This window comes from Homo sapiens, chromosome 4 (assembly GCF_000001405.40).
Source record: "Homo sapiens chromosome 4, GRCh38.p14 Primary Assembly".
NCBI lineage: Eukaryota > Metazoa > Chordata > Mammalia > Primates > Hominidae > Homo > Homo sapiens.
Genome location: NC_000004.12, coordinates 139,454,746 through 139,477,250, shown reverse-complemented (window position 1 = coordinate 139,477,250; position 22,505 = coordinate 139,454,746). Strand labels below are relative to the sequence as shown.

At 39.8% G+C, this 22,505-nt stretch overlaps 1 protein-coding gene across 2 annotated transcripts in view, besides 1 other annotated feature; it reads right to left on the bottom strand.

The window, feature by feature from the left end:
* The window catches only part of RAB33B (RAB33B, member RAS oncogene family), a 38,234-nt gene continuing 16,370 nt past the window's right edge, over positions 642 to 22,505 (bottom strand). For both annotated transcript variants that reach the window (XM_011532299.2, NM_031296.3), the window contains one exon: positions 642 to 4,565. In XM_011532299.2, coding sequence (XP_011530601.1) covers positions 4,125 to 4,565 — 441 coding nt within the window. In that variant the 3' untranslated portion in view covers positions 642 to 4,124. The remainder of the gene's footprint in view (positions 4,566 to 22,505) is intronic.
* Positions 5,799 to 5,938: a silencer, noted in NCBI's record as "silent region_15701". NCBI's record gives its function as "represses an Ori minimal core promoter by ATAC-STARR-seq in GM12878 lymphoblastoid cells {active_cell/tissue: GM12878}" and the evidence as "EXISTENCE:reporter gene assay evidence [ECO:0000049][PMID:35858748]".

Genomic DNA, 22,505 nt, shown 5'->3' with positions numbered 1-22,505 from the left:
AATTAAACTTAAAAAATGGAAAAATCTAGTTATAAAAGAAAGAGAAAATGCAGATGTGCAGAGAAGCTGGACCCAGAGTTAGGAAACTGTGTGCTCAATCCCAGCTCTTCTTTTAGTCCAGTCACATCCTTGTCTTCAAGTCCAGTGAGACAAGTCAGACTCCTTACATTAAAATCCCCCTTATAGGCTGGTTCAGACTGAGTTTCAGATACTGCACCCAAGCCAGTCCTAATCCCACTGCTTATGGCAACTTGGCAGTTTAACCAAAATCTACCTTGCTAGCTTCATTTCCGTGTTCTGACCACATCTCCATTCTATCACATACTCACACTGACCTAGCAGTCATTCCCCCCAAATTCAACTCCACTCTTGAGCCCTGCAGTGCATTCACCTGGGATGACTTTCTTCCCTCTCCTTTACATGGAGAATGCCTCACATTTACCCTGAGATGCTGCATAAATGCTTCCACTCATTGTGAAGCTTTTTGATTATCTACTGCTCCCATATCCAAGTCAAAAGACCACTCCATATTCTGTGCTCATTGTCCTTTGTATATGCTTCTTTGATTACACTGATCACAGTATATTGTAGAATTCCTATTTGTTCATATACTATTTTGTAAGTTCTTCAAGGACAGTGTCTATGTAGCTCCACTAACACAAATAGAGAACACATGACCCATACTTGATAAATGTTTGATAAATCAGGTTATTCCAACAAACCAAGTGCATTCGCCCTTGCCACACAGGCTGTAGCAAACGTGCTCCCAAAATACATGACGAACTTCTTAATATCTGATTAAGAAAGCAGTCCTTCATGAATAATGTCAATTTTGTGTTTGAACACAAGGGTAACTTATACGTAAAATAAACTGACCAGGGGAAGCAGAATCAACATCAGAGGCCCCCACATCCCTAATCCTATGGTGTCTAAATCAGTAACTGCAATCTTATACCTGAGACGTAGTTCGTTCTCTTTTCTCATACTTTCTATAGTTATTCATTCTGTTAAATGCTTTTACGTCTAAATACACATCAACTCCTCTTGCACCATTTGCTTTTTGCACTGAACTATTCTAAAACAAGCTGGATTACTAAAACACACAAATACAAAAGCTGTGTTATCAGCTAATTTTAATACTTTGTTGAGTTTTTTTCCTGAAGTGTTCTTTGACCTCAAATGTATACAAGAAAATAATTGTCCAATGGGTTGGGGGCTTTTTGTTGTTTTCAAAAGTGTATCATATATATAATATTATCTGGAAACCAGGAGGAAAAAAAGATTGTTTTATTTTATACTCTACCCAGTAACCAAACAAAGAAAATAAAACACAATTTCTTTGTGGCTAAGCTGGTTTATTGAACTTCATGGGGGAAATGTAACAGTGACACTATTCCACAACAAAATTACTTAGATTTCATGAGGAAACATGTATTTGCAATATACTTTCAATAATGCATTGTTATTAATAGCGAACTACATTAGATTCTGGGGTAGTTTCCTTTGGTGTTCTCAAATTAAGACTTTTCCAAAACATGTCTGATATTTTAATTATTTATTTTCAATTAAAGGTCATAGTTAAAATAAATTCTACAGATTTTTTAAATGTGTGATTTGTTCTTTAAAAATTAGTAATTAGTTGTTAGATAGCTATCATTTTGGAAGTGATTTTGCAACAGTGAAATGTTTTATAAATATTTTAAGATATTGAAAGCTTTAACCCCATTCAACTGGTATGTTTTTTAAAAATAAAAACATATATATAAAAAATTAAAACAAATTGTTACAAATGAGATACAAATATTTTAAAACTAATAAATATTACAGTTAAAAAATAAGTCCTTTCACAGAACTGTAAAGGATATTACTTAATTCCTTACAAAAAGAAATAAAGTTACTCTTTTTAAAACCATAATAATAGTAATAAAAAACCATAAATGTGCTTGGAAAGTCTATAAACTTTCTTCCCCCACTTTAGAAAATATTTTGAAAAGCGATAAACAGATTCCCTTCTTTAAAAAAATGTTGTTACACCCATCATAGTTACTACAGCTGTCATTGTTTTATTACAAAAATAGTTATAAATCAAGGTTAATTTCGATACAAGTAAAACAATTTTTAAATTCCAGCATGATTAAGAAAACATGATCTCCCTAAATGCAAATAAAGCCAATTTGAGCTCTAATACTTAAAATGGAATAATCACTTCCTATAATTATTATTTTCAGTTAGTTCATTTAATAGAATTACTTTGTCTTTATAGTTAAATTATCCAGGTAGGACCACCATGATGATTAAACAAAAATCTTAAACTAGATTAGATTACATTTTTAATTGATTTCCCATATTCTGAAAATACTGTAGTACAATAATCATTTGGCTTAATTTCCTCCAAAATTATTAAGGACAGCAATCTATCAAAATTAGTGAATGTGAACACTTCAGTTAAAGTCATGGCTTACATTCCATTTACGTAAATAGTTTAATATGTAAGCTTGCTATATTTTATGTGCAAAGACTTAAATTCAAAATAAAAGTATTTAGGTTAAAAAACTTCTTGAAATATTCTTTCCATCACTGAAGTTTAGACATTTTTCAATATCTAATTTATTTTTCATACTGAGGAGGGATAACTTGTGACCATAAAATTTAGACATCTTAAAAATTGATATGACACAATACTATTACAGAAATACATGTAGACTAATAGCAATTAGAGTTGTGCCTTCACACCTACAATCCAAATGGAAGTTGATTTGTTAACTTGGCATTTAGTCATTAAATTTATTGGAGTTGAAGGAAGAGCAAGAGATACCATATGGGATACACTGCTTGAAATTAGTAAAGGCTAAGAATAGGTCTCCTGTGTTAGCTAGAAGCTATGTTTACCTATTTTCCCCCAAGTTACAACTCTTCATGTGCTTTCAGTTAGTTTTTCACTGTTTAAATATACCAAAATAAAATATAAAGCACCTTATGTCACTTTATTTGCCTTAAAATCTGACTTATTTTTGCATATTTTAATAGGATTTAGTAAGAAAGCAACTCGGCTGGGTGCAGTGACTCACACCTGTAATCCCAGCACTTTGGGAAGCTGAGGCGGGTGGATCATGAGGTCAAGAGATCGAGACCATCCTGGCCAACATGGTGAAACCCCATCTATACTAAAAATACAAAAATCAGCTGGGTGTGGTAGTGCACGCCTGTAATCCCAGCTACTCGGGAGGCTGAGGCAGGAGAATCACTTGAACCTGGGAGGCGGAGGTTGCAGTGAGCCGAGATGACGCCACTGCACTCCAGCCTGGAGACAGAGCGAGACTCCATCTCAAAAAAAAAAAAAAAAAAAAAGAAAGAAAGAAACTCAAATAACTCTTTTAAAATAATAATGATTTTTGTAGATCTGATAAGTATTAATTAGAAAATCAAACATCTAGAACTCTTGGAAAAGTCATTCTTTATGGACTGGGAACCAGAAAACATTCTATGCCTTCTTATCCCACTGGAACTAAAGTCTTGGCTCTAAAACATACCAATAATAACAAAACTAAATATGTTAATAAAACAAAGAAAGGCCAGATGCAGTGGTGAGTACCTACAGTCCCAGTACTGGGGAGGCTGAGGTGGGAGGATTGCTTGAGCCCAGGAGCTCAAGGCCAGCCTGGACAACATAGCAAGACCCCGTCTCTATGAAAAAACAAAAAAAGTACTCTGGGGAGAGGCAAATACCAGTTTTTATCCTATTAAGAACACTTCCCATTCAAAGGACATACTATTAGGTGTGTCCTAAACCTTTAACATTTTTTTCCAATCCTAGGACAAAAGATTGAATGGTTACTGATTCCATCATGTTCTCATTTGAAGCTTCCTTCATTGGGCTCTAGATGGAGAGATGTTCAGATTCATCCTATCTTTGCTTCATTTTCAATCTCACCTGAAAACCAACTTTTCCTGTGTTGTCACAGTGACAAACTTAAGTAGATACAAAATACAAAAGCGTGACAATGACAAACAGCAAAGTGTCAAGATGACCCATTATAGTTGAGATTAAATCTTATGACTTAATACTGTCATACTTCAAAAGTATTTCTTTAGTCAAAATTAGATAATATAATAAAGACTGTTATTTAGCACCAGCACGTCATTGCAGGCTTTGGTTCAGGCTTCAGGATAATTCCATTATCAGGGGGCTGACTAAGCATTAATGGTTTGTGGCTCTTAAGCTTATGAGCCAAGGTCATAAATATAGCTTCCACATGGTCATTATCATTGGGGTTTTTAGCAGACGTTTCAAACAAAGGCATACTGTGTGTGTCAGCAAATTTTTGTGCCAAGTCTGTGGGTACCTGTATGGCACTTCTCAAGTCACATTTATTTCCAACAAGAATCCGTGGTATATCATTGGCTAGCAAATGTTGTTTGCATTCTTCTATCCAAGATGGTAGGCTATGAAAACTAGCCATGTTGGTCATATCATACACGAAGACAACAGCATGTACATTTCTGTAGTAGTGCTGAACCATGCTCTTTCTGAATCGTTCTTGTCCTGCTGTGTCCCATAGCTGGATCTAAAAATGGGAAGAAAAAGAGGAAAACTGAAAATCCCATTCCAATTATACATATCAAGAAATGTAATCATCTTGCATTGTCTTTATTATCTCTTCACTTAAAATATTTTGATTTCTCCCTTCCATAATGTCTTTTCAGTGTTACCTATGGGATCCAGACTTCATGATACCAGTTACCTCACAATTAAATTATAATACAAGTGTCGGAACTAATATTTCAATACAGGATTTTCTAAATTTCAGTAAATCCAATTTGTTTAAATAAAATTTACCTCAAAACTTTATTTTAAAATGTTAAGAGAAAAATATATCAGGTGTTAACATGTTAAGCATTTAATTCCTGTAAATTTGGTTACTATACACCCCTCTTTACCTTTCACTAGTCTAATTTAAAATATTAAACCTAGGAAAGATGTTGTTATGAGATCCAGCCTCCAAACAAACATATACATGTATGTGTATGTCTATGAAATCCAGGACCCCTTGAAAACTTAAGAAGGCTAGAAAAAAATCATGAATAAAAATGCTCAACATAGAATTAAAATGCTTAAAACTATAGATGTCAAAACTTACTACAAAGCTACAGTAATCAAGACTGTGTGAAACTGGCCTAAGATCAGATACAGAAATCAATGGAACAGAACTGTGGATCCAGAAGTGAACCCATATATCTATGGTCAACTGATTTTTAACAAGATTACCAAGAAAATTCAACAGCAGGAAAGATTAGTCATTTCAATAAATAGTGCTGGACAACATGCAAAAAATGAGGCTGGATCCCTATCTCACACCATATATAAAAACTTACTCAAAATGGATCAAAGACCTAAATTTAAGAGCTAAAACTTTAACTCTTCGTAACCTTGGATTAGGCAATGGTTTCTTAAGATACGATACCTAAAGTAAAAGCAATCAAAGGAAAAAATAAACTGGACTTCATCAAAATTAAAAATATTTGTGCAGCCAGATGCGGTAGCTCAGCACTCTGGGAGTCCAAGGCATCAGGGTCACTTGAACCCAGGAGTTTAAGACCAGCCTGAACAAACAAAATTGGAGGGTGGAGCAAGATGGCAGAATAGAAAGCTCTACCTATCATGTCCCCAACTGCCCCGCAAGGACACCAAGTTAATAACTAACTACACAGGAAAAAAAAAAAAAAAAAACTTCATAAGAACCAAAAATCAGGTGAGCACTCATAGTACCTAGTTTTAACTCATATTGCTGAAAGAGGAACTGAAGAGATAGAAAAAACAGTCCTGAATTGCCAACACCCACCCCCTGCACCCCGAGCAGCAGCGGTGTGGTACAGAGAGCCTCTCTGGGCACTGGGAAAAGGAGAACACAGCAAATGAAAGGCAATGAACTCAGTTCTGCCCTGTTAGAGCAAAAAGGAAAACCGGACCAAACTCAGCTGATGTCTACCCACAGAGGGAACACTTAACCCAGCCCCAGCCAGAGGGGAACCACCAATCCCAGCAGTCCAAACATGAGTTCCCACAAACCTTGCCCTCTGTGTCTCCAAGTAAACTTGAAAGGCAGTCTAGGCCACAAGCATTGCAACTCTGAGGCAACTCCGAGTGCTAAACTGGCCCAGAGACAGTGCGCTGGGGCAGACAGGAGACATACTGAGACTCCAGCTGGGACAGCCAAGGGAGTGCTGCCATCACCCCTCCCCTAACCCCAGGCTGCACAGCTCACAGCTCCAAAAAAGACCACTTCCCTCCATTTGAGGAGAGGAGAGGAGAGGAGAGGGAAGAGTGGGGAGGATGCTCTCTTGATCTTAGATACCAGCTCAGCCACAGCAGGATAGGACACTGGTCAGAGTTGTGAGGCCCTCATTCCAGGCCTTACCTCCTAGACGACATTTCTAGATACACCTTGGGCAGAAGGGAACCTGCTGCCTTGAAGGAAAAAATCCAGTCCTGGCAGCATTCATCACTGCTAACTGAAGAGCCTTCGGGCCCTGAAAAAACAGCTGGCATACCCAGGCACTACATTGACAGTCTTGGGTGAACCTCTGAGACTTGCTGACTGCAAGTGAGACTCAGCACATAATTAGCTGTGGTGGCTATAGGGCAAAACTCCTGCTTGAGAAAAGCAGAGGCAAAAGTAAAGGGGACTCTGTCTTGTACCTTTGGTACCAGCATGGCCACAGGGGGGCCTTTGGGGTCCCAGATTTCAGGACTTGACTCTTGGACAGCATTTTTGGACCTGCCCTGGGCCAGAGGGTACCCCACTACTCTGAAGGGTGAGGCCCAGGCCAGGCAGCATTTATGACAAGGGGGCTTAAGAGCCCCTGGGCCTTAAAGGAACATTGGTGGTAGTCTGGCAGTACTCCTCATGGCCTGGAGTGGCAATGGCTACAAGTGGGAAGCTCCTCTGTCTTTGGAAATGGGAGGGAAGAGTGGGAAGGACTGTGTCATGCAGTTTGAGTGCCAGCTCAGCCACAGTACAACAGAACACCAAGTAGACTTCTAAGATTTTTAACTCTAGTCCCTGACTCCTGGAAGGTACTTCTGGACCAACCCAAGGCTTAGGGAAACTTGCCACCCTGAAGAGAAGGACACAGGCCTGGCTGGCTTTGCCACCTGCTGATTGTAGAGTCCTAGGGCCTTGAGTAAACATAGGCGGTAGCCAGGGAGTAGTTACAGCAGGCCTTGGGTGAGACACACTGCTTTGCTGGCTTCAGGTCTAGTGCAGTCTAGACCTAGTGCAGAGGCAAAAGTAAAGGGGGCTTTGACCTAGTGCAGTCATAGTGGTGGTGGTCACAGGGGTGCTTGTGTCCCTCCACTCTCAGTATTAGGTTGCTCAGAACAGAGAGAGACAAAGAGAGACTCTGTATGTTTGGAAGAAAGTAAGGGAAGGAAGCACGCATCTCTGCCTGGTAGTACAGAGAATTCTCCTGGATCTTGTCTAAAACCATCAAGGTGGTAACTCTACGAGTCTGCAAGAACCACAGTGTTACTGGGCTTAGGGTAACCCCTAAGGCAGATACAGCTTAGATCACAACACTCAAGTCCTTTCAAATGTCTGAAAAGCCTTCCCAAGAAGGACAGCTACAAATAAGCCCAGACAGTGAAGACCACAATAAACACCTAATCCTTCAATGTCCATACACAGAAGAATATCTGTTAGCATCAACACCATCCAGGAAAACATGACTTCACCAAATGAACTAAACAAGGCAACAGGGACCAATCCTGGAGAAACACATATGTGACCTTTCAGAAGAGAATTCAAAATAGCTGTTTTAAAGAAACTCGAGATAACACAGAGAAGGAATTCAGAATACTACCAGATAAATTCAACAAAGAGATTCTTGAAGAATGCATCAGAGTCCTTTAACAGCAGAACTGATCAAGCAGAAGAAAGAATAAGCAAGCTTGAAGACAGGCTAACTGAAAATACACAGAGGAGATAAAAGAAAAAAGAATAAAAAACAAGGGAGCACGCCTACAGGATCTAGAAAATAGCCTCAAAAGGACAAATCTAAGAGCTGCTGGCTTTAAAGAGAAGGTAGAGAAAGAGACAGAGACAGAAAGTTTATTCAAAGGGATAATACAGAAAACTTCCCAAACCTAGAAGAAGGTATCAATATTCAAGTATAAGAAAGTTATAGAACACCAAACAGATTTAACCCAAAGAAGACTACCTGAAGGCATTTAATAATCAAACTCCCAAAGGTCAAGAATAAAGAAAGGATCCTAAAAGCAGCAAAAGAAAAGAAACAAATAACATACAATGGAGCTCCAATAGGTCTGGCAGCAGATGTTTCAATGGAAACCTTACAGGCCAGGAGAGAGTGGCATGATATATTTCCAAGTGCTGAAGAAAAAAACCTTTTATCCTAGAATGGTATATCTGGCAAAAATATCATTCAAACATGAAGGAGAAATAAAGACTTTCCCCAACAAAAGCTGAAGGGTTTGATCAATACCATACCTCTGCTACAAGAAATGCTGAAGGCAGCACTTCAATCAGAAAGAAAAGGACATTAACGAGCAATACATAATCACCCAAAGATACAAAATTCACTGGTAATAATAAGTACACAGAAAAATACAGAATATTATAACACTGTAACTGTGGTGTATAAACTACTCTTATTCTAAGTAGAAAGACTAAATGATGAACCAATCAAAAATAATAACTACGATGACTTTTCAAGACATAATCAATACAATAAGATATAAATAGAAACAAGAAAAAGTTAAAAAGTGGGGAGGATGAAGTTAAAGCATACAGTTTCTATTAGTTTTTTGTTTGTTTGTTTATGTAAAAAGAGTGTTAACTTGTTATCAGGTGATATGGTTTGGCTGTGTCCCCACCCAAATCTCATCTTGAATTCCCACGTGTTGTGGGAGGGACCCTGTGAGAGGTAACTGAATTATGGGGGCAGGTATTTCCCATGCTGTTCTCATGACAGTGAGTAAGTCTCAAGAGGTCTGATGGTTTTAAAAGGGGGAGTTTCCCTGCACAAGCTCTCTTCTCTTGTCTGCTGCCATGTGAGATATGCCTTTCACCTTCTGCCTTGATTGTAAGGCCTCCCCAGCCACAGAGAGAGAAACATCACATGTTCTCACTTATTTGTGGGATCTAAAAATCAAATCAATTCACCTCATGGACGTAGAGAGTTGAAAATGGTTACCAGAGGCTCGGGAAGGGTAGTGGGGCTTCGGGGTAGGGGAGATGGGGATGGTTAACGGGTACAAAAAAAAAAAAAACAGAAAGAATGAATAAGACCTACTATTTGATAGGCAATAGGGTGACTATAGTCAACAATAATTGTATATTTTTAAATAAATAATGTAATTGGCTTTTTTTTTTTGAGACAGGACATTGCTCTATTGCCCAGGCTGGAATGCAGCAGCACGATCTCAGCTCACTGCTGCCTCAACCTCCTGGGCTCAAGGAATCCTCCTGCCTCAGCCACCTGAGTAGCTGGGACTACAGGTGCAAGATAACATACCCGGCTAATTTGTTTATTTTTTTGTAGAGATGGGTTGTCACCATGTTGGCCAGGCTGGTCTGAACTCCTCAGCTCAAGCGATTTGCCTGCTTTCAGCCTCCCAAAGTGCTGGGATTACAGGCATGACCCACTGCACCTGGCCTGAATTGTCTGTAACTCAAAGGATAAATACTTGAGGGGATGAATACCCCATTCTCCATGATGTGCTTATTTCACATTGCATGCCTGCATCAAAACATATAATGTACCCCATAAATATATACACCTACTATGTATCCACAAAAACTTTTAAAAACTAAAAAAAATCAAAATGTTGTTCCATTAAAAAAAAAAAAAAAAAAAAGACCAGTCTGAACAACATAGGGAAACCCTGTCTCTTAAAAAAAAAAAAAAAAAAAAAAAAAAAAAGCGGCGGGGGGCGTGGTGGGGAAAGAGGTGCGCGGCGGAAGGCCAGGCACAGTGGCTCATCCCTGTAATTCCAGAACTTTGGGAGGCCAAAGCAGGTGGATCACATGAGTCCAGGAGTTCATAACCAGCCTGGCCAACATGGTGAAACCCCATCTCTACTAATAATACAAAAATTAGCCAGGTGTGGTGGCAGGTGCCCATAGTCCCAGCTACTTGGGAGGTTGAGGTGGGAAAATCACTTGAGCCTGGGAGACAGAGGCTGCAGTGAGCTGAGATCATGTCACTGCACTCTAGTCTGGGTGACAGAGCAAGACCCTGCCTCAAAAAAAAAAAAAAAAAAAAAAAAAGTTTGTGCTTCTAAGGACACTATCAAAGTGAAGAGACAACTCACAGAATGGGAGAAAATATCTGCAAATAAAATATATCTGAGGCCAGGCATGGTGGCTCACGCCTGTAATCCCAGCACTTTGGGAGGCCGAGGTGGGCAGATTATCTGAGCTCAGGAGTTCAAGACCAGCCTGGCCAACAGGGCAAAACCCCGTCTCTACCAAAGATACAAAAAATTAGCAGGGCATGGTGGCATGCACCTGTAGTCCCAGCTACTTGGGAGTCTGAGGCACGAGAATCGCTTGAACCCAGGAGGCAGAGGTTGCAGTGAGCTGAGATCATGCCACTGCACTCCAGCCTGGGTGACAGAACAAGACTATGTCTCAAAAAAAAAAAAGAAAAAAGAAAAGAAAAGACCCTTGAAATTCTATCTTTAGCATTTAGAAAGATATTTTGGTAATAAATTGGATGACCTATATAAAAGCTATCCAAGGGAACTAGAGCTGATTTTTTTCTCTTCTAATGACATTTTCTGTAACTCAGATGTTCAAGCATCACTTCATCAATGAAAAATGACTTATAATGTTTTAAGCAAATTATATTCACAAGATAAAAAATAAAAAGCACACGAAAAGGAAATATACCAAAATATTAGCAATGGTTGTCTCCAAGGTAATTTCTCCCTTTATTTCTACTTTTCTATTTTCCTTAACAAACATGCATGTCATTTATAAAAACAAAATTAAAAAAAGATGATTACGCAGAATTTAGACCCGCCCTCAAAGAACTGTGGATGTCCTCCACAAATGTAAGCGGTAATGATAAATGTTAACCCCAGGCCGGGTGCAATGACTCACACCTGTAATCCCAGCACTTAGGGAGCCTGAGGTGAGAGGATTACTTGAGCTCAGGAGTTTGAAACCAGCTTGGACAGCACAGTGAGACCCTGTCTCTACCAAAAGAGACCTTGTCTCTACCAGCTTGGGCAACACAGTGAGACCTTGTCTCTACTTTGTTCCTACCAGTGAGACCTTGTCTCTACTTTGTTCCTACCAGTGAGACCTCGTCTCTTAAAAAAAAAAAAGTGAGCTGGGAGTGGTGGCATGCACCTGTGCTTCCAGTTACTTGGGAGGCTGAGGTGGGAGGATCGCTTAAGCCCAGGAGATCAAGGCTGCAGTGAGCCATAATCGTGCCACTGCACTCCAGCCTGGGCAACAGAGTGAGACCTTGTCTCCAAAAAAACAAAAAAAAAAAAAAAAGAAGAAGAAGAAGTTTAATCCTAAGAAAACCCTTTGTTTTTAGATGAGACTGACTAAACAACATTCCTCTTCCCATTCCCTATTTAATAAATGGTGCTGGGAAAACTGGCCAGCCATATGTAGAAAGCTGAAACTGGATCCCTTCCTTACACCTTATACAAAAATTAATTCAAGATGGATTAAAGACTTAAATGTTAGACCTAAAACCATAAAAACGCTAGAAGAAAACGTAGGCAATACCATTCAGGACATAGGCATGGGCAAGGACTCCATGTCTAAAACACCAAAAGCAATGGCAACAAAAGCCAAAATAGACAAATGGAATCTAATTAAACTAAAGAGCTTCTGCACAGCAAAACAAACTACCATCAGAGTGAACAGGCAACCTACAGAATGAGAGAAAATTTTTGCAATCTACCCATCTGACAAAGGGCTAATATCCAGAATCTACAAAGAACTTAAACAAATTTACAAGAAAAAATCAAACAACCCCATCAAAAAGTGAGCAAAGGACATGAACAGACACTTCTCAAAAGAAGACATTTATGCAGCCAACAGACACATGAAAAAATGCTCATCATCACTGGCCATCAGAGAAATGCAAATCAAAACCACAATGAGATACCATCTCACACCAGTTAGAATGGCGATCACTAAAAAGTCAGGAAACAACAGGTGCTGGAGAGGATGTGGAGAAATAGGAACACTTTTACACTGTTGGTGGGACTGTAAACTACTTCAACCATTGTGGAAGACAGTGTGGCGATTCCTCAAGGATCTAGAACTAGAAATACCATTTGACCCAGCGATCTCATTACTGGGTATATACCCAAAGGATTATAAATCATGAGACTATAAAGACACATGCGCACGTATGTTTATTACAGCACTATTCACAACAGCAAAGACTTGGAACCAACCCAAATGTCCAACAATGATAGACTGTATTAAGAAAATGTGGCACATATACACCATGGAATACTATGCAGCCATAAAAAAGGATGAGTTCATGTCCTTTGTATCGACACGGATGAAGCTGGAAACCATCATTCTCAGCAAACTATCACAAGGACAGAAAACCAAACACCGCATGTTCTCACCCATAGGTGGGAATTGAACAATGAGAACACTTGGACACAGGGTGGAGAACATCACACACCAGGGCCTGTCATGGGGTTAGGGGAAGGGAGGGATAGCATTAGAAGAAATACCTAATGTAAATGATGAGTTAATGGGTGCAGCACACCAACATGGCACATGTATACATATGTAACAAACCTGCACATTGAATACCCTAGAACTTAAAGTATAAAAAAAAAAAAAAAAAAAAAAAAAACAGTATTCCTCTTCCCATCAATCCCGTTCAAAATTTTATGCTTTCTAATCATATCAAGTCTTCCAGAACACAGAGGTATGAAATTACCCCTTTTTTATTTTTATTTTTTGAGACGGGGTCTCACTCAGCCCCTCCAGGCTGGAATGCAGTGGCACAATCATGGATCATTGCAGCCTCCACCTACCAGGCTCAATCTTCCTGCCTCAGCCTCCTGAGTACCTGGGACCACAGGCGCGTGTCACCAGACCCAGCTAAGTTTTTACTTTTTGTAGAGACAGTGGGGGGGTGGTCACACTATGTTGCCCAGGCTGGTCCCAAACTCCTGGGGTCAAGTGATCCTCCCACCTTGGCCTTCCAAAGCTTTGGGATTATAGGCAAAAGCCATCATGCCCAGCCTGAAATAACTCTACACTTTACTGTAGAGCCATAAACGTAACTAATAATGAGGCATTTACAAAGGAATATCTAAAAAGAAGCTTCAAAATTTCTCTCATGGAATAACTAAATGATGGGAAGGCTTAGGGCTACTGCTGCCTGCTGCCTTCCAGGCCTGCACACTGAGATGAGAAGGCAAGGAGACAGGAAAGGAGCAGTGAGAGACCCAGCCAATACACGACAGGACAACTGATTAAAAACTGTTGACCATAAAAGGCTAGAGAAAACTTTGAAGGAGACAGACAGACAGACACTAGGCGAAAAGCAAAGCCTAGAAAACTCTTGAGGCTTAGCTATGAGTGGAATGGTTCATGATGTTTAAAAAAGAAGAGAAACTGATACTTTTGGACCCAAGGAAGTGAGACGCTTTCATCTGGTAAATGTTAAATTAGGAAATATTTTCAGAGAAATTTTTCCCAATTTAATACTTAAATATCTTAGGAAAAATGGCTAATATGTGCTCACAGCAATCTTATTGCCATTTTAAACATTATAAAGATAACATAATATATACTTGGCCAGGGGTGGTGGCTCACACCTGTCATCACAGCACTTTGGGAGGCCGAGGTGGGTGGATCACTTGAGGTCAGGAGTTCAAGACCAGCCTGGCCAACATGGTGAAACCCCGTCTCTACTAAAAATACAGAAAAATTAGCCAGGTGTGGTGGCACACGCCTTTAATAGGCTTGAACCTGGGAGGCAGAGGTTGCGGTTAGCTGACATCGCACCATTGCACTCCAACCTGGGCGACAGAGACTCCATCTCAAAAAGAAATTATTATTATCTTTTATGACAGGGTCTCACTCTTGCCAGGTTGGGGTACAGTGGCACAATCTTGGCTCACTGCAACCTCCACCTCCCATGCTCAAGTAATCCTCCCACTTCAGCCTCCTGAGTAGCTGCGACTACAGGAGTGTGTCACCACACCCAGTTAATTTTTGTGTTTTTTGTAGAGATGGGATTTCTCCATGTTACCCAGGCTGGTCTCGAATTCCTCGGCTCAACTGATCGGCCTCCCAAAGTGCTGAGATTACATGCATGAGCCATGGCACCTGGCCCAAATTCTTCATTTTAAAGGCAGTATTCCTTTCAAATAATCACAAAAATTTGTTACTTGTCTTCTTAGGAAGCTAAAATTTATTTATTTTAAAATTTTAACAGGGTTTAAGTGAACACAGACCAATACATGAAATGGCAGCACTCAGAATCAGTAGAGGTTGAGAGAGACTCCAGAAAGCTAAAATTTATTTCAAAGATTTGCCATTTGATTCTGTACACCAGACACACACATTTCTACTCCACATACAAAAAGCAAAGAGTTCTCTTGAGATGTCACTAATACCAGTTATGATGTTGTTTTACAACTTAAATTGTTAACAGAAGCTCTTATGTAGTTCTTATATAGATGGTCTTTTACATGAAATAATAAAAATGTGTTCTTTGAAAGAATAGGGGAAAAGGAAATTTAATAGTTAATCAGGGATGGAAAATTTGGATTAAAACCTTTAACATTTTAGGTCAAGCAAAAAGAGTATTAAATCAATTTAAAGTCAGATCATTTCTCATTTTGGATAATAAAACTACCAAAAGAGCTGTCATGGCCGGGCGCGGTGGCTCACGCCTGTAATCCCAGCACTTTGGGAGGCCGAGGCAGGCGGATCATGAGGTCAGGAGATCGAGACCATCCTGGCTAACACAGTGAAACCCCATCTCTACTAAAAATACAAAAAGTTAGCCGGGCGTGGTGGCAGGCACCTGTAGTCCCAGCTACTCGGCAGGCTGAGGCAGGAGAATGGCGTGAACCCGGGAGGCGGAGCTTGCAGTGAGCCCAGATTGTGCCACTGCACTCCAACCTGGGCGACAGAGCGAGACTCCGTCAAAAAAAAAAAAAAAAAAAAGAGCTGTCATCAACAACAAGAATCTACTATTAGTATTTAGCAGTAGCTAGGTTGCCATTTTTGTTAAAACTTGATATTGGAATTTAAACTAGAGATTCATGAAGTTTTATATAAAGGAATTATACGTATATATGAAATTTTTTTTTTTTTGAGATGGAGGCTTGCTCTGTCACCCAGGCTGGAGTGCAGTGGCACGAAGTCAGCTCATTGCAACCTCTGCCTCCCAGGTTCAAGCGATGACAGGCGTGAGCCACCATGCCTGGTCAAAATTTTTTTTAAATAAAGGATTTAATTACAGAATAATAATGGTGATAAGGAAGAGAGCAAGCAGTGAGAGAAAGCATTAGTTATCACCTTAGAGGAAAAAATACACACAATTTGGAACAGTAATCTTAGTTATCCATCCTCTTTCCCTATTCTTTCACTGCCTGTTTTTTTTCCCCACTACCATCTCTCTCCTGAAGGAATGAGCATTTACTCTTAAACTATTAATATTGATTTGGGGCTTAGCACATTCCATGTATACTCCAGGAACTCTGCTAAGTCCTTTACATGCCCTTATTTAATATATGCAACCCTATGTAATAATTACCCAATCTTCAGATGAGGAAACTGAGGTTTAAGTAATTCACCCAAGGCCACAAAACGAGTAAGTCTTAAGGCCAGAATTTAAACGTGGACTACCTGATTCTGTAGAGAATGCATGTTGTTTTCTCCAGCCTAACCCTCATTCTCCCTTCTATTAATAGCACCCTATTTTCCTTGGGAATCGGCCCTCCCCTGCTTTCCATTCACATGAACCACTGGCTCCCAGGGAGGGCATGTGACCTACGTCTGACCAATCAGAGGTTCGCACCCCCACACTCCCTGTCACTACCATAGTTTAGGAATGGGCATGTAGAGCTGCAGTTGGAACTGGCAGACAGAGAAATTTACTTCTAGGCTTTTTAGTTATATGAAAAAATAAATTCCCTTTCTGCTTAAACTAATTTGCTTAGAGTCCTCACACAGTCTCCAAAGCAAGAGATCTTGACCACTGATTCCAGAGAAGTAAGTAATTCTCTTCTCACCACCTCTGAATATACACACCAATGCTGCCTTCTTCGTCTTCGTAAGAAGTGACAGAAGAGAATCATAGGCTTCTGAAATCAGGCTAGAAAAACAACAGGAATTCTGACCTGGTTCCTGGGATCCTTCAGATAGTAGGAAAGCTTGGGTCTGTGAAAATGTATATTACTTACACCATGCCAGCCCCAGGACCAAACCCCAGCAATTCAAAGTCTTTTTCAGACCAGAAACTGCCCAAAAGTTTCTGAGCTAAGGGATCACAAGATTCTTCAGCATTCTTAGGATACCTGAACTGCGCATATTCTCATTCACTGAATTTCAATGCAAATCAAATCAAATCAAGAGAACCAGTTTGGTATCTCTCCAACCACCAATACCACATTTTAAGAAATAAAGTATCAATTTGATTCTGTTTTAAGGTAGGGTATAAGGTGACTTCATATAAAATATTTTTTGACTTATAAACATTAATTTACTTTTAATGAAGATCAACACAGAACAATAATTAGTAACCCAATTTATATTTTATATTTACACAGCATTCACTGAATGTCATCTTCATCATGCCATAAAAAAATTTAACAAAATTTCTACTATTCTCTCTAGGCATGTTAGCTACATTTTGTTCTATCCGTGCTTCCAAACTTCAACTTCATGTGCATAATTATTTCTCCTGTGTGCCAATCCGGTATTTGTAGCTGCCAATCAGTATTTCCATTTGAATATAGGATCATCTCAATAAACACATGACTAAATCATAATGTTACAGAGCCTGTCCAAATTCAATCTTCCACGTAGTCCCCCTTAGCTCCACTACCTACCTCCTGTCACCCAGACTCACAACCTCACTCATCTAGTCCTCTTCTTTCTCATCACCAACAGCCAGTTACTGAAGACTTTGGCTTTATCTTCAAAATACCTCTTCTATCACCCCTTTATTTTCCCTTATCACCTCAATTCTGGATTTCCAGAGTACCCTACCAACTGATCTCTCTGCCTCTATATATTCAACACTTTTCCCTGAGTACTTACTATGTGGTTTAAGAACTGAACTAGGCCGGACACGGTGGCTCACGCCTGTAATCCCAGCGCTTTGGGAGGCCGAGGCGGCAGATCACGAGGTCAGGAGTTTGAGACCAGCCTGGCCAACATGGTGAAACCCCGTCTCTACTAAAATACAAAAAATTAGCGGGGTGGGGTGGCAGGCGCCTGTAATCCCAGCTACTTGGGACGCTGAGGCAGGAGAATTGCTTGAAACCTGAAGGCGGAGGTTGCAGTGAGCTGAGACCATGCCACTGCACTCCAGCCTGGGCAACAGAGCAAGACTTTGTCTCAAAAGAAAAAAAAAAAAAAAGAACTGAACTAGACACTGAAAGAAGTCTATGGAATTACCAGACATGGATCCTGCCCTGAATAAAACTTAGTAAGGGAGGTAAGACAGGTATGTATGCAATGAGATAGAAATCATCTAAAGGTTCAGGTAAGGTGCTAAAAGAGTTCATAGAAGGAAGCTGACTGGAGGTGTGAGGAGACTCTTTTTTTGTTTTTAAGAGACAGGGTCTCATTCTCTTGCCCAGGCTGGAGAGCAATGGTGTGATCATGGCTTACTAGAGCCTCCAACTCCTGGGCTCAAGCAATCCTCCTGCCTTACCTCCTGAGCAGCGGGGACTGCAGGTACATGCCACCGTACTTGGCTGATTTTTTTAAATTTTTGGTAAAGATGGGGCTTCACTATGTTGCCCAGGCTGGTCTTGAATTCCTGGGCTCAAGTGATCTTTGGCCTCCCAAAGTGCCGGGATTACAGGTGTGAGTCACTGGAATCTGGCTGGCTGGAAGGTTTTTTTTTTTTTTTTTTGAGATGGGATTTGTTCTTAATAGAAACAACCCCATTAAGAAGAGGGCAAAGGACATGAACAGACACATTTCAAAAGAAGATATATCTGTGGCCAAAAAGCATATGAAAAAATGCTCAACATCACTAATCATGAGAGAAATGTAAATCAAAACCACAATGAGATACTATCTCACACCAGTCAGAAGGGCTATTATTAAAAAGTCAAAAAATAACATATGCTGGCAAAGTTGCAGAGAAAAGACAACACTTATACACTGCTGGTGGGAGTGTAAATTAGTTCATCCCTTGTGGAAAGTGGTGTGATTCCTCAAAGAGCTAAAAACAGAATTATCATTTGCTCCAGCAATCCCATTATTGGGTATACACTCAAAGGAACATAAATCATTCTGTCATAAAGACATCTACACATGTATGTTCATGACAGCACTATTTACAATAGCAAAGACATGGAATCAGCCTAAATGCCCATCAATGGTAGACAGGATAAAGACAATGTGGTATATACATACCATGTAACACTATGCAGCCACAAAAAGAACAAGATCATGTCCTTTGCAGCAACATGGAGCCGGAGGCTATTATCCTAAGCAAACTAATGCAGGAACAGAAAACCAAATACCGCACGGACACAAAGACAGGAACAACACACACTGGAGCCTCCTGAAGGGTGGAAGGTGGGAGGTGGAAGATCAGAAAAAATACCTATTGGGTACTATGCTTAATATGTGGGTGACAAAATATGTGGGTGACAAAATAATCTGTACACCAAACCCCTGTGACATGTTTAACTATACAATAAACCTGCACATGTACCCCTGAACCTAAAATAAACGTGTTAAAAAAAAAAGAGAGAGAGACAGAGACAGGGTCTGGCTCTGCTGGAGTGGCTCGATCATAGTGCTCTGTACCCTTGAACCTCCAGCAATGCTCCCACCTCAGCCTCAGGAGTAGCTGGGACTACAGGCACAAGCCACAACACCCAGCTGGAACTTTATAACATAATGGAGAATATAATATAAAGGGCACTTGAGTTAGGGGAGATAAATCTTGAAGTACAACATTAATCGGGCATTTTGGCAACAATGTACAAAATAGATTAATTGAGGACTGGGAGATCAGTTAAGCTGCTGTAACTGTTAAGCTGCTGCAACAGTTCAAAGAGAGGTTAAAAAAAGGACTTGAACTAGAATTTTGAAGACAAGACAGTTAATAGAAAGTGTGCAGGTGGAAAACCAATTGGACTCAGAGCAAAGAGAGGGGTGAGAGTACAAGGATAAGAAGGATTAAAGTAGTACAACCTAGGTGAATTTTGAATTTCATATGATTTTCATGTCATGAAATCTTGATATTTTCCCTAAACATTAAAAAATGTAAAAAATCATTCTTAGATTGTGGCCATGTAAAAACAGGCAAAAGACCATTTTTGGCCCTCAAGCATAGTTTGCTGACCCTTGTGCCGTATCATAATTCTCTGTGCTTATCAAAATGTCTTCTTTCCAGCAATTACTCATTAAATATTTGTTTTACCAGTGTGGGGAGAGGTCCTGATTATTTTCCTTTAGTTAATATTAACATTTTGCACTTAACATGGGAACATTTCATTTCTACCGCTACAAAAAAGTAAGCTACTAAAATGTTCAAGTAGGACCTGCTGACCTCTAATGGGAGGCCGGATTAAATACAACACCAGGCTTTAATGGGTTGGTGTGTCTGCCACTGGAAAATGATTGTGCTAAAGGAATACAATTAGTCATGAAGGGGATATACACACGAGGAAGGAGCATAAGGATTAGAGTTAGGAGTCTCAATTTAAAAGCCGAATGTATTTGTATTTAAGGAATTTAATTTTATAATTTTATTCGACTTCCAAAATTTTGCAAACAAGATTTTCCTCTTTCAACTACCTGCACATACTGCTTAGGAATGGATTAGCAGATATAGGCTTTCTTAAATTTCATAAAACATTTTAACGGATTCTGAAAGGGCACTGTTGTTAAGTCATGCTTTCTGAAAATTTTCTAGTCCATGATTATCAAAACATTTAACGCAATATCTCATTTTTATCAAAGAAATAATGTCTAGAATGGCATTTTACTAGTAAAGTAATAGAGCTTTCCAGCTTTGAGATGAAAAATTAGGAAAAATGTCATTTTAGATCAGGCTACAATTTTCCAAAGACGTAATATGAACATTTCAGCAGCACTCAAGATGTATTACAGGTTAACCAAAAAGCAGCAGAAGCAGCACATAGAATAAAGCTCTTTATATCACTTTTCAGTTTTCGAAAAAAAGGGCACTAAAAAAAATTAAGCTCTGTGGTTTTAAAAAATGCCCAACATAGCTATATCTTTTCCTACTATAGAAACCTCAGAACATGTCTGTAGTCATTTCAACCACAATAAAAATCTCTCTCAAGTCTCACCATTGGTGGCACAAATCAACGGCTAGGGCCTTAGAAGAAAAATGATCTCAGTATTCAAGTCCATATCAATGTAACAAGTTAGGCTAAAGTTCAGTAGAAATAATCTCCCCAAAAAATATCATCTCCTTGCTCTTCCCAACCAGAATTATCAACTCTGTGCTCCCAGATTCGTCATACCTGTGGTTCTGTCTTATTTATCACTGCCAGCACTCACCTCAGTAGTTAGGTAATTGACTTTATACACTGCACATGCTTTATATTTTTTCAATACTATTATCTCTTAAATTTGCACCTGATTCATCTGTTATCTTTAAGTATAAATGGCAACCCAGGAACAGATAAAGGGCCCTCAAATCCCAACTCCTCCCCCACCCTCATTCTCTCCACTTTTGAAAGAATTTCCTACTTCCGTTTTTGTTTTTGTTTTGTTTTTTAAATTTCTCTCCCCTTAGCTGTCTACCTATGCCCTCCACTATCTCTGCTTTCAACTTTGGGTGTACAACTGCAGAACTAATGGTGGCAAACAGGAAAAATAATGTTAAGCCACCAGGAAAGACAAAGAATCTTTTTAAAGGCACCAACTATGAACCAGGTGCTTCATATATGTCCTCATCTGATCCTCACAGCAGCCTGATAAGGTATCATGATCCCAGTTTTTCGGAAGAAAAATACAGACTCTGAGAGGTTAAAGAATCTGCCTAAGGTCCAGGGTGACCAACTATTTTGGTGTGCCCAATACAGGGGGTCCCCGGGATGTGAGACCCAGTTTTAAAACCTGGACAGTCTTGGGCAAAGTTGGTCACCCTAGTAAGGACACGCAGCCCATCCCTACCCTTTCGTAGGTTCAGATATGAATCCAGGTTAGTTGGGCTCCAAAGCCCACGTACTTCCCAGATTCCTGCTTCTCCCAATCTTAACTCCCTTGGAACTTCAGAAGCTCCATTATTTTTCACCCCAAAGGCTTCTGGGCCAAACCTAATTCTGGTGAAAAATGTTTAGCCTTTTATTCTATCTTTTCTTCTGCAAGTATACAAATCTTTCTAAATTCCCTAATACAAAGCAACTCCAAAACCACCACTGAGAGCTCATATGGGACATGAAATACTAATGTGAAAAATTAAAAGACAGAAGCACCAAAGAAAGGTTAATTTCTTTTAACCCAGCTTACTTCACCTCTACCATCATTAGCAGTATAACCCGTTGGGGTGGGGGGCGATGATTAGGGAACTGAAAAATAAATTGTTCTTGCCTCTAAGATACGAGGGTAGGAACGTCTAAAGCAAGCCTGTTCTCCCACCACTCCCCATCCCCACCAAGAGACTGAGATAAAGACGATCGCTGATTTAAAGCAGTAGTATAAGGCAAGGTGGTTCCACCTATGTTTTAAGGAGTGGCATCAACAGGTGGCATTTAGTGGTGGCTTGCTATGAAGGTGTGTCTAAGGTTTATACCATCAAGAGGCCTAAGCCTTGTCATTGATCCTCATTCCACTGTTAGATTCCAACCCCTCAGAACTTCAAACCTGCCCTGGGGCCTATACTACCTTCTCCACTATTACTGTCACTCAGTGTCCCCAGTCCCAGGGACCAAAAATAACGACTTAAAGGGAATAAAGAATTGGGCGTGTGTCTGAGGTGGCATCATGAGAAATGCTTTTGGCAACCTGAGTAGGAACTATCACATATAGAATGTTTCTGCAGGAAAATAGATTTTTCTAAAATCAGTATCATAAAGAAACTACTACAGCAAAACTGTATGCAAGAGAATACCTAAGTACTTCCTCAAAGGCAATAGGCTTTACTTCCACAACATCTAAGGCACTGCTCGAATGAATGTTTAATAACTATTACTGATTAAATGAATTTTCCATTCTCGCGCAATTTCACTGTTTTTCCTCCGTTCATATTTGACTGACTCCCAGCACACGACACACACAGTAAATGGGTCGGTAGATAAGCCCTAC